General features: G+C 38.3%; 1 long non-coding RNA gene across 2 annotated transcripts in view, besides 1 other annotated feature; it reads left to right on the top strand.

Moving 5' to 3' along the window:
• The window catches only part of LOC105376775 (uncharacterized), a 53,183-nt gene that overhangs the window by 2,191 nt on the left and 37,516 nt on the right, over nt 1-13,476 (top strand). The gene's annotated exons all lie outside the window — the stretch shown is intronic.
• Nucleotides 12,099-12,600: an enhancer, noted in NCBI's record as "NANOG hESC enhancer chr16:77535256-77535757 (GRCh37/hg19 assembly coordinates)". NCBI's record gives its function as "activates a minimal SCP1, AML or CMV promoter by ChIP-STARR-seq in naive H9 embryonic stem cells {active_cell/tissue: H9 hESC(naive)}" and the evidence as "EXISTENCE:reporter gene assay evidence [ECO:0000049][PMID:30033119]".

The following is a 13,476-nucleotide window of genomic DNA, read 5'->3' as shown; positions in this document are numbered from 1 at the left end:
TAAGTTACTTTATGGTATTTTGTTATAGCAGCCTGAACACGGTGAGACACATTTATTCTGAAACATTTATAAAACAGGCCTATGCTGTAACCCCTTTACACAGAGTGTCTAGTTTAACAAATTTGGCTATCCTGTGAAATAGGTATTGATACTTTCATGTTGCAGAAAAATAACTTACACTACTTTCTGTAATCCCATTCCTGGTCAAAGATGACCAGTGGCTCTTTTGACCCAAACTTCACTTAATCTAAGGGACGGACTATTCTTGGTGTATTAGCAAATATTCATTCTCGGCTGGGCACGGTGGCTCACGACTGTAATCCCAGCACATCACTTTGGGAGGCAAAGGCAGGCGAATCACTTGAGATCAGGAGTTCAAGAGCAGCCTGGCCAACATGGCAAAACCCCGTTTCTACTAAAAATACAAAAATTAGCTGGGCATGGTGGCTCGTCTGTAATCCCAGCTATTTGGGAGGCTGAGGCACAATAATCGCTTGAACCTGGAGGCAATGGTTGTAGTGAGCTGAGATCACACCACTGCTCTTCAGCCAGGGCGACAGAGGAGACTGTCTCAAAAAAAAAAATTTCTCATATCCCCATTTCTTAAACATTGTATTTATTGTCTGGACAACATATGAAAAGACCTTGGCTAATCATCTCAGAGTTGATTGATTAATTTTTTTCATGCACTTTGTATCTTATGCATTTGGCACTTAATATGCAAAGATATCCTTTTGCCAAGAACCAGATATGGAAGACATAGGTAACACCTGATTCCTTTCTACGCCGTGGTGTGTAATATCCCGATGTGTCAAATCAATGTATTTCAAGGAATGCAAATCAGGTTGTCCAGAGGTATCTTGGATTAGGGGGAAAAATGAAAATACTGGAGTCTGTTTTCTACCTCTGTCTCCTCTTCATCACTCCTAGAAGTTCATTTTGAGCTTTGCTGCTGAATCGCTCACATTCTGCCGGTTCTCCTCTCTAGCAATGAAGTATCTGTACAAGTTTCAGGTCAGTGTTGAGAGGTAGTAAGTCATTTTTCCTACTGCTTTTCTTGGATTTCCCCAGCAGGCCAAATGAGAGGAATTTCCCCAGAATGCATAATTTATAGTTCTCTCATAGACGATGGATTTACAGTTTCGTGGTGAAAATGGAACACTCATCCCAGCTACCATTTGTTTGGCGGTTGCACTTTGGAAAAAAGACGTGTGTGTAAAATCATTGTAAGCTTATATTTAGCCTACTTTGAGTTTCAGGGATTACAAACTGCCTATATAACAATTATAATATTGAATTAATAAGCTGCTAATATTTTAAATATTTTGATAACTCCTTTACTATGTTAAAAGGAAACTATTCAAGCATGGAGAGTCTATTGTTTCTCTTTTCATAGGACATAATAATAAAAAATATTTCTGAGAATATATTTTGATCTTAAAGTTTAAAAAGCTTATGTAGACATTTCAGATTTTCCCCTTCGATGTTTCTTGTCATTAATTGAGTTATGTTAATTTTTCTGTACTCTTCATGAGATCAGGGGAGCAATCTAAATATTCCCTAGTATATCATGAATCCTACACATAGTGGGTAATTTATCATCTGATATTCAAAGATATTAAGAATAAGTGCATCCTGAATTAAAAAGTTACCTGTAAACTGAATCTGAATTTCAATATGTTGGCATTTATTTTTCTATTTATTCCCTACATAAAATGAGGAATATCTCTTAGCAAAATATTAGGACATCCTTTCCCACACCACCACCCAGACCTGATAGGCAGAGCATCCCATAAGGCTGGAAGTGGCTCATCCTGTATGGTGCTAAATTATCTTGTGTCAATGGGAAAAGCAATCTATATTCCTTCCTTTCTCCTGCCATCCTAAGGGCAGTTATTCTAAGCTAGGGTTTCTCAACCACAGCGCTGTTGACATTATGGGCCAGATCACTCTTTGTTGAAGGGACTGTCCTGTGATTGTAGGATGTTCAGTGGTATCCCTCACCTCTACCCACTAGATGCCAATAGCACCCCACTCCCCAGTTGTGACAATCAAAATGTCCCCAGACATTGAAAAATGCCCCCACAGGTCCAAAATCACCCTTGGCTGAGAACGACTAGTCTAAGCTCTTGTTTTTCTCCACCATTTTGAGTTAGTAGGAACTTGTTAGGGTTGCTGGTAGGTTGGAATTCTGTGGTTAGGGTCTGTGTGTCAATGGTCTTTCTTGTGCATTTGCTGATCAGAGAAGGCAGTGTGCTATAGTGGAAACAGTACTGTCTTTGGAGTAGGTGTCATCATATTTTAATTACAGTCTCCAGCAGCTTTCTTGACCTTTCTGAGACTATATTTCCTTTTCTGTAACTAGAGATAATAACCACTGCCCTCTGATATATTTTCCTTATAGTCTACAGTAAATATGAAATAAAATAATGCAAGTGAAAGGATTTTGCACACTCTAAGAGGTTGTACAAAGGATTCCTTGTTGAGCAATATAATGTTAGATTGTTTAAGCAAATTAGATGACGACAATATACTCATTGCTTTGCACAATGTCTCGTCTATTCTGGCAAGGTCATGTAGAAATTGTTTTCATGCCCAAATTATCCTATAGCTTTACTGTAACTCAGAAACAAACGTGTAGATGTGCATGTATATGACTTGGTTAACACATAACTTTGATGACTATTTTGAAAACTGGGGGAAAAAAGTATTGGCAAAGCCTGAATTTGATGACTCTAGCAATACCTGAAGAGGTCCATGTAAGGAGTCTACAACCAGATGAGTTCCCACAATTGGAACGTGCACCAGCAATGTGACACAAAAGTTCTGGTAAGCTCTTTGTGGACCTCCATTAGGTCATTTATAGATAAAGTCGTTAATGACTTGATTTGGGTTATTTTTTATTACAATGGCCAGCTTTTGAAAAGCTATGGAAGAGATATTACTTCCATTTGCTAAGTTAGGGAACAGATGCTTGGAGAAGCCAAATGTCATGCAGCATGGATTTAGCAGGAACAACTGGGACTTGATACCGAGAGTTCTTACTCCATTGTTGGTCTCTACCCCTGTCCTTTAAAAGAGTTAAAGGGAAATAGCCTTGATTTTTTTCATTCCTAAGTTCATTTAAAGTTGATGGACAACTTACTAAGAAGGAAAGTCTAGCAGTGTGAATCCAAGGTTATTATTTCACATGCCTTTATTGGTTTTGTTTCTTGAAATGCCCTTCTTTCTCATATAAACCTACTAAATTCCTACTCATTCTTCCAAGCCAGTCTTGAACATCACCTAAGATAGGTCATTTCCATCTCTCTTGGCCTCTGACTGCTTGTGCTAATTCCTCTCTCTGACACCTCATGCTGTATTGTGAATTTGAGGGCATTAGGCTCTCTAAAAGGCACTTGGCACAGAGTAAAGAGTCAACAAATAGAAGCATGGAAGGGTTCATGAATACAGAGAAGGAGTGCAATAAATTTTATTCAATTAATTTGATTAAAGTAAATGGGTTGAAGCTAATTGATGGGTGGATACACCAACTATCTTTGATAGAATTTAAGAAGCTGGCTCAGAAAAGCCTTGTAATTTTCATGTTCGTGTGCCTTTAAGAGAACTAGTCAGCTCAACCCAAAGCAACGAGGATGCTAATTAACTCTGATCAGAGAATTTATTTTCAGTACTTTGTAGAGGGATAGAGAATTGTAATGTTTGTAGTGAACAAATTACTTATCTCTTTGAGGCATTCCCACTTGGCCAAGAGCTCTTTGATCATGGGGACGTAAACACATAGGCCATCATGTATTAGTTTTACATATGAAAGCCTTGAGTTCCTTTAATCCTTATGGGACAGCAAGATTTATCAGTGGAAAACAGATCTGAACTCTCCTGACCTCACCTTGACACAGAAATCCTTAATTCGGGTATAACGACAGGCTGGAAAGAGCAAATGCTTTTAACTAACGTCAACACACTCTGGCACTCTTTGTAATTAATCAGGGCAGAAAATTTGCAGACAAGAGAGTACCATAGGCTGCTGCAAGTCATATTCCTGTCTAATCAGCAATAGCACGCACTTTTTCTTCACTCCACTTGGCGTTTCAAAAGGACCATCATTTGAAAATGACAACTGCTATTGTTGGGAATCATTGGAAACTTGGTCAGCCTTTGAAGACCCAGTGTTTATTGTTGCAGGCAAGGAATGGTAATGTGCTTTGGTTTCAGTTAGTTATCCCAAATAATACCCCCCTAGAAACCACTAAATCCAGCCCTCTTACTGTGACAAAGCCCATCTCTATTAAATCTATGTATTATTTTATAACAAGGGAGTGTAAAAGCATGAAAAAAATGATGGTTGAGAATATAAATAAATACAAGCGTAAGATTTGGAGTGCAAAAGTGAATTATTTTATTAGTGCAGTGCGTAAAGGAGGTGACTTCACGTTCCCAGCACATGAGATGACAGTCCCCACTGTAGTGAGAAGCAGTCAGGCTACTGCCAGAATCGTATCTAGGTACTTTTATATTTTTATATAAAAGTATGAGTTGGTAAACACATTAAAAATGACAAAGTGATTAGCATTTTAATGTGAATTGGAACCTTTGAGGATGATCCTCATAGTTTTAATTGAAACTTTTATTTTTAAATCTCTTTCGTTACACAAAACGGAAAACGTGATGAGGCATCGTAGAAAGATTCAAACTGAAAGGAGCCCAGATGTTGGCGTGGAGAAAGTTATTCAACCATTCTGAGCCTCAGGCTCTTCATTTGTTAAATGAGGACCCAAGGGCCTGCTCTGTGGGTTTATTTGGGGATTAAATGAAATTGTGACCATAAAGAGTTAGAATATAGTAAGTGCTTAATCAATGATAGTGACTTTATGTTTTTTATAGCTATGAGATGCTCACTTTTATAAGCTTCTAGGTCAGAGATAGGGACTATGAGAATAAAAAGGAGTGCATAGGCTGGAAATATTAGGAAATGGGTATTGTGAAATTAAATGTCTTCTAAAACATTTCTGTAGAAAGTGATGATATATAAAATATATAACAATTAGTATGACATGGGTACCAGTCAGCATGGATAAAAGCCATACCCCTGGGTTTGGGAATGGGGGCCAGCTGTGCCAACCTTTAACCCTTGGTTGCTGGATCATGCGGCAATGTTGTTTGGTACATCTAGGGCATCTGGAGGCCTTATAGGCTGGGGGAAAGTCCTTGGAAGAAATGGCTGTTGATTATGACATTTGGCTTCCATCACATATGGAAGTATTTAAATAGTTAAATAGGAGGACAGCCATACTAATGCTTCTTAGCCTTGTCTGTAGAGAAACTGGTCATGAAAATACTGCTACCTGGGTGCTTCAGGATCACATGATATGTGCTGTGTACACACAGCTCCATACAGTAGGGCTTATGAAGGGCAGGGCCAGAGCTCCATTCACCTGGGGACATCTACATAGGACTCTCTGCTCAGAATGAGGCCAGCCTCAGATTCAGATCTGATTCTGCCTTACTGTTAAGTAAAACTAGACCTTTCCCAGGTGTATGATTCCTTTATTTGTATGGGATCTTTACAAATCCAGAAACCCAAATGGTTCAGTCTTGTGGCAGCATCACCTTCAGGAATCACAGTTTATCACCCACAGGTATGACTGGCATTGACTGAAACCCATGGCAGAGAACTCAAATATGCAGTCCACATTTATATTTAGTTCTCCTGCTTCTTTTTCCAGTCACTTTCCTCCTATATTTTAGCATCTTTCTCTGAGCAGAGGTTTGATGGTGTCTGTGTGTGCACTGTGTGTGTGTTTGCCCACACACGAATGCATGTGCTATAGGGAAGAATCGGCCTCAACCCTAAGCGTACTCAACATTTAAAAAAAAATTTTTATCTCTTTCCTTTGAGTACTTTATTATTTAACTCAAATTAACCTTCAATGAGCAAGAAAAAGAATACTAGACTGACAATCAAAAACGTTTTGGCTAGTTGGATGGAAAAGAAAGACTAGGCACCTATATGAAAAAATGTTTATTACATATAAAATAAATGATTTGGGTTTAGTGACCACTTAGATATCTTTCAGACCTAACCCTAAGTCAGCTTATCATCCAGATTCTTAAAAATATAATTGAATAAAATAAATGGAGAGATATAATATGTTCATGGATTCAAAAATTCAATATTGAGAACCTCCCCAATTTGGATCTCCCCAAATTGATCTCTAGATTCACTGCAATTGCAATCAAAATCCTGGCAGGAATTTTTTCTTTAAGTCCCAGGATACATGTGCAGGATGTGCTGCAGGTTTGTTACATAGGTAAACATGTCCCATGGTGGCTTGCTGCACCTATCAACACATCACCTCGGTATTGAGCCCAGCATGCTTTAGCTATTTTTCCTGATGCTCTCCCTCCCCCTGCTCTCCCTCCACCCTGCAGGTCCCAGTGTTTGTTGTTCCCCTCCCTATGTCCATGTGTTCTCATTGTTCAGCTCCCACTTATAAGTGAGAACATGCAGTGTTTGGTTTTCTGTTCCTGCATTAGTTTGCTGAGGATGATGGCTTCCAGCTACATCTATGTCCCTGCAAAGGACATGATGTCCTTCCTTTTTTGGTTGCATAGTAATCCACGGAGTATATGTACCACATTTTCTTTACCCAGTCTATCGTTGATGGGCATTTGGGTAGATTCCATGTCTTTGCTATTGCGAATAGTGTTGCAATGAACATGTGAGTGCATGTATCTTTATAACAGAATGATTTATATTCCTTTGGGTATGTACCCAGTAATGGGATTGCTGAGTCAAATGGTATTTCTGGTTCCAGGTCTTTGAGGAAGCTCCACACTGTCTTCCACAATGGTTGAACTAGCTTACATTCCCACCAACAGTATAAAAGTATTCCTAGTTCTCAGCAACCTCACCTGCATCTGTTGTTTCTTGACTTTTTTTAAAATTTTTTTATTTTACTTTAAGTTCTAGGGTACATGTGCACAATGTGCAGGTTTGTTACATATGTATACATGTGCCATGTTGGTGTGCTGCACCCATTAACTTGTCATTTACATCAGGTATATCTCCTAATGCTATCCCTCCCCCTTCCCCACATCCCCCAACAGGCCCCTGTGTGTGATGTTCCCCTTCCTGTGTCCAAGTGTTCTCATTGTTCAATTCCCACCTATGAGTGAAATCATACGTTGTTTGGTTTTTTGTCCTTGCGATAGTTTGCTGAGAATGATGGTTTCCAACTTCATCCATGTCCCTACAAAGGGCATGAACTCATCCTTTTTTATGGCTGCATAGTATTCCATGGTGTATATGTGCCACATTTTCTGAATCCAGTCTATCATTGATGGAAATTTGGGTTGGTTCCAAGTCTTTGCTATTGTGAATAGTGCCACAATAAACATACATGTGCATGTGTCTTTATAGCAGCATGATTTATAATCCTTTGGGTATATACCCAGTAATGGGATGGCTGGGTCAAATGGTATTTCTAGTTCTAGATCCTTGAGGAATCACCACACTGACTTCCAATGGTTGAACTAGTTTACAGTCCCAACAGTGTAAAAGTGTTCCTGTTTCTCCACATGCTCTCCAGCACCTGTTGTTTCCTGCATTCTAACTGGCGTGAGATGGTATCTCATTGTGATTTTGATTTGCATTTCTCTGATGGCCAGTGATGACGAGCATTTTTTCATGTGTCTGTTGGCTGCATAAATGTCTTCTTTTGAGAATGTCTGTTCATATCCTTTGCCCACTTTTTGATGGGGTTGTTTGTTTTTTTCTTGTAAATTTGTTTGAGTTCATTGTAGATTCTGGATATTAGCCCTTTGTCAGATGAGTAGATTGCAAAAATTTTCTCCCATCCTGTAGGTTGCCTGTTCACTCTGATGGTAGTTTCTTTTGCTGTGCAGAAGCTCTTTAGTTTAATTAGATCCCATTTGTCAATTTTGGCTTTTGTTGCCATTGCTTTGTTTCTTGACTTTTTAATAATCAATCACCATTCTGAGTGGCGCGAGATGGTATCTCATTTTGGTTTTGATTCCCAGCAGGAATTCTTTTGGAGAAATTGACAAGTCAACTTTATAATTTTATGGTACAGAAATATAAAATAATCATAATAGTCAAAGCAATTTCAGAAAAGAACAAAGTTGGATGATACGCATTACATAATTTTAAGAACTACTAAGATTTTTATCTGTAGTGATCAAGACAATGTGGTATTAACATAAGCATAGACATATATAGATTAATTAAATAGAATGCTGAATCCAGAAATAGACCCACACAATGGAACTAGGGTAATTCAATGGAGAAAAGATATTCTTTTCAAAAATATAATGAAAAGTACACCATTTGTTATATATCAAAATGAGATTTTAAAAACTTTGATCCTGACCTCACAGCGTATACAAAAATTAATTAGACTAGTAAACTTAAAGGTAAAACCTCAAGCTAGAAGATAGAGCACAGAAAATCTCTGTGACCTGGGTGTAAGCTAAGATTTATTACATATGGTATAACAATCAGAAACCATAAAATCTTTTAAAAGATTAATTGAACTTTATCAGAATTTAAAATGTTTTCTTTTTAAAAGGCACCATTCAGAAAATAAAATGCATTAAGCCACAGACTTGGAAAACGTAATGTGTGTATCTGTCAAAGAATTAAAGACTAGAATATTTAGAAACTCTTACAACTCAATGAGAAAATGAATAACCTAATTTTAAAAAAGGGCAAAATATATGAACTAACACTTCAGAAAAGAAGATATGTGAATGGTTAATAAGCATATGAAAAGCTGCTCAACATTACTGGTCATCAGGAAAATGTGAACTAAAACCAAAATGAGACGTGACAACCCTCCCACTGAATGTGTGATATTAAAAAGACTGACAACAAGAAGTGTTGGCAAAGATGTGAAGCCACTAGAATACTCATGCATTGCTGAAGGGAGTATAAAATGCCACAACCAGTTTTGAAAACTGTTTGGCAGTTTCTTGAAAGGTTAATCATGCACTTAAACAACCCAGCAGTTCTACTCCTAGATCCTTACCCAAGAGAAATAAAAGCAAATGTTCACACAAAGATTTGCATCTTAATGCTCATAGTAGCTTTATTTATAATGCCCCCAAAGTGGAAACAATTCATCAACAGAAGAATGAATAAGTTCATACAATGGAATACTATTCAGAGCAAAAACAGGAATGAAATACTGAGAAATGTTACAACAGGAGCAGAGCTCAGAAACATTGTACTAAGTGGAAGAAGCCTGATGAAAACAGCTACATATTGTACAATTTCATTTATGTGAAGTGTACAGAAAAAGACAAATTTATAGACAGTGAAATCAAATTAGTCGATGGCCTGAAGCTGGAGGTTAAGAGGTGACATAAAAAGGGAATGAGGGAAGATTTTAGAGTGACAAAAATGTTCTGTATCATGATTATAGTGATCCTGACCTACGTGAATAACTCATCAAACTCTGCTTTATTTATTCTGTTCTATTTTATTTTTTTTGGAGCAGGGTCTCCCTTTGTCGGCCAGGCTGGAGTTCAGTGGCGCAATGATGGCTCACTGTAGTCTCCACCTCCCGGGCTCAGAGATCCTCCCACTTCAGCCTATTGAGTAGCTGGGACCACAGGTGCACACCATAACACCCAGCTAATTTTCTGTAGAGAGGAGGTCTCACTATATTGCCTAGGCTTGTCTCAAACTCCTGGGTTCAAGTGATCCTCCTGCCTTGGCCTTCCAAAGTGCTGGGATAAAAGACGTGAGCTGCCGCCCCCAGCCTCTGCTTTTTATTATATGTAATTATATCTCATAAAATTGATCTAAACATTTGAAAAAATAGTGAATGTAGAACACAAAACACACTGTATGCTGTTAAATGAACCAATGTGTATGTTACTTAGCACGTGCCTGTAATATAAATGGTTCTCATTCCTTCTTTGTGATCTATATCTATATCATAAATACGTATATGTAGATATATATTTCAGGTCCTTAAATACTTTCCTATCCAAATAATGGACTCTCAACAGTTTTGTTCTTCCCTTCTTATTTTTGCGTTCCTTCTTCCTTCCCTCCTCCCTCTTCTCTGTCTCTTTTCCTTTCTTCTTCCATTCTGTCTATACTATTTTCTTCTTGACAATTCTATATTATTTTCTGCTTGACAACTAAATGCTGCTAATCTTTGCTAAGGTGTTAACGGCCAACAGTGTGTCAATGTGTGGTTGCTCTCAGGGGTCTCTTGGTGAAGGACTCTTGAGAGAGTCTTTCCATGGCCTTTCTGAGGGATCGGTCCCTAGGGATAGAATTTTTGTCTATACAGTAGACTTCGAAAGAAAGCTGGTGTTAATTAGTCCGGTGTATTATTGGCTGGGGAAATGCTGTAACCATTTATTTAGTAGAAAAACAAACATAAATCTTCAGATAGGCACTGTGTATTAATCAGACAAGTGGAATTTCAAGCTTTATTTCTCATGTTTAGTCTCTATTGCTACACGAGGGAGGGTAGCATCTGTGGAAAGAGTGTCACCTTTTAAGTCCCGCAGACCTCAGTTTGAATAATAATACCACTTGTTAGGTATGTGACAGAGAGCTCCTAACCTTAAATTCTTACTACAGTCTGATGTTTGGAAGTAAGGCACTGAAGAGAGATATGGGCTAGACTAAAGGAAGTTCCCACTCTGAGATAAACAGAGAGGTTTTCAACCACCTAGGTAAAACTAGAAACTATTGTTTGGGACTCTAATTAATCAGGGAACATGTGCTCTTCTAATGAAATAGTATCTGAAATCTGCTTTTATTTTTATTTCTTATTTAACTCTTTAGTAGGCATAGGAATGCAAACACGATCAAAAGTGAATTATAGGTTAGGTAATTGTCTGGTTAGTTGGCTTGGGCTTTAGTTACCTGAACCTACGGCTGGAAGGAAAATTCAAAATATACATTAAAACTTCTCAAACATTGCATTCATAAAGCATCACCTTGTTCTCTTAAAGGCATCTTAACATATACTATTTTGTTTATCACAAAGGCCTAGTGAGGAAGGTGTCTAATGATACCATCCAACTGTGTTTTAAGGGCAAAGGAATAGAAGCCTAGGTATGTGAAGCGGTTGTTCAAGATTCTTAGCTGGTTAGTGAAAAAGGATAGCCCAGAATTCTCATCTTCGATACGGTGCTTTATTATGGAATAATACTATTCATCCCTGGCAAAGTGTGCCTTTTAGTATCATCCCTCATCTTAGTCTTTGTAGTCATGATCTATAGCCCTTTCAGTGGTGGTGTGTTTTACAAACCTAAGTCACGTGATAAATGTCAGATCCTTTTAGCTTCCAAATGCAGAAATATCTTTGTGGAGAGTGTATATCAGAACTTCATGGAGGCAGCCTGATTTATTGAAAACCATTTGGGGTTTGAGAATAGACGGCCCTGGGCCAGCAGACGTGTCTGTTATGATGCTGTTTATTCAGATTATTTTTTGCATGATTTTTATCACCACCAAGTCTCCGTGTCCTCGTTATTCATAATGAGTTCCTATGAGAAATGAAATGACATATGCACAGCTCCTGGTCTGTAGTAATCACCAACAAATAAGGATTCACCTTTTCCTCTTCCTTTCCTATTCCATTTTGGCCAGCCTTCATGTTACAAGGAAAGAAATAGCCAATAGAAAGTGTGATGAAGTCAGCAGAGGAATCAGAAGGAAAACAGAGACCTACTCCTGCCTTCTCTTCTGGTATTTTGCAACAGATCTTTGCAGTTTCTGATGGCTCATTTTTGACCACTGTTGATAGTTTTGAGGAATTTCTTTACACTCAAAAATGTCTTTTAATTCTCAAAGCAGAGGCTGAGGCAAAATTAGGCCACCGGTTTATTTTCAGTTCTTGGTCGGAACGCAGGCTTCGTTCATCCTTGTTTTGTCTGCAGAAACTCTTGCTCTTCTGTTCCCATAAACATCTACATTTAGCTGTTGAATTCTTTCCAGGGAAGGCCTATCAAAATTCTTGAAGGGTCAGAGATGTAAGTGTTAGTTATCTCATGTGCTAGAAGGAGCTTTAGAGATTATATAGCATAATCCTTTCATTTCACAGATGAAGAAACTGCCGCTTGAGAAGGGGAAATGTCTTGTCCAAGTTTACCCAGGGAAAATCCCAGGGTAACCTTTCAGTTCCCCTGAAGCTTCTCCTATAGTCATAGTCATTTTGACATATTAATGAGGAATGAAAATCCCAGAGGTGATGTTGTTGACATAATTGCACAAGCCTTCTAAGTAACTTTGTCAAAATGGGAACATCTCCATAAGAAACAAAACTATTTAGTAGACGTTGTTTAGAGGTAAGAATTTTACTTACTTCAGAGTGATTTCTATGCACAGTTAATTAGCTTAGGAAGCTCTTTGTTTGTAGAGGAATGTCCACGGATGGTCTCCCAGGGGTCTATGACCCCCTGAAATTTAAAACTTCCTGTGTGTTTTCAAATGAGAGGGCTGGGTACATGTTAGAGCCCCCAGAGTCAGCCAAACATAACTTCCCCTTAAAGAGTGTCCTACATGATAACAAAGGAATGACTCCTTGACTATCTTTTTTTTTTAATTGGAGAAACTTCTAGACTTTTTTTAATTAGACTGGCTTACACCCACTTTATTGTGTGTGGTTGTTGGTAGAGACTGAGAACACACAGTAGAAACTCAAACAATCCATCTTTTCCTCTGAAGCTTGATCAGTCAGGATCCCAGAATAGGACTAAGCTTAGAAAGGTATTGAAAACCAAATGCTGCATGTTGTCACTCATAAGTGGGAGTCAAACAATGAGAACACATGGACACGGGGGAGGGGACAACGCACACTGGGGCCTGTCAGGGAGGTGGGGAGGGAGAGCATCAGGGCAAATAGCTAATGCATGCAGGGCTTGAAACCTAGATGACAGATTGATGGGTGCAGCAAACCACCATGGCATCTGTATACCTAGGCAACAAACATGCACGTCCTGCGTATGTATCCCGGAACTTAAAATAAAATAAATTTAAAAAAAAGGTGAACACAGGGAATGCCATTGAATTTCCTGTTTTTCTTTGTGGATTTAAGTGCAAAGTCTAGGTCAAATACTTTGGCCTTAGAACTTGAGGAGGAAGGCTGATGTTGCATCTTAATATAAATACTTGGCTATTAGCATATGATATCCGAGTATTTCTTAATTCCTGCATTAAATCAAATCAGTATAAAATTACTCAATTTCACAGCTACTTCTCGTCTGTCAGTATGGTTATGGATCAGGAGGCACAGAACAACTCAAATATTTCTCAAGGGAAAAGAAGTTAACCATTTATTGATATGCATAGCTTGGCCTAACTAGGGAGAAGGCAGAGAAATGCTGTGTAAATTAACAGCTTCTTTAGCCCTTCTTTAAGGATCTGAGTTTATTTAGCTTTCCTAATACTCAAATTCATTTCTTGAAAGAGAAGAGAGGATTCTA

The sequence above is a fragment of the Homo sapiens genome, chromosome 16, assembly GCF_000001405.40.
Source record: "Homo sapiens chromosome 16, GRCh38.p14 Primary Assembly".
NCBI lineage: Eukaryota > Metazoa > Chordata > Mammalia > Primates > Hominidae > Homo > Homo sapiens.
The sequence above is the reverse complement of the archived record's forward strand: the minus strand, read 5'-3'. Positions and strand labels throughout refer to the sequence as shown.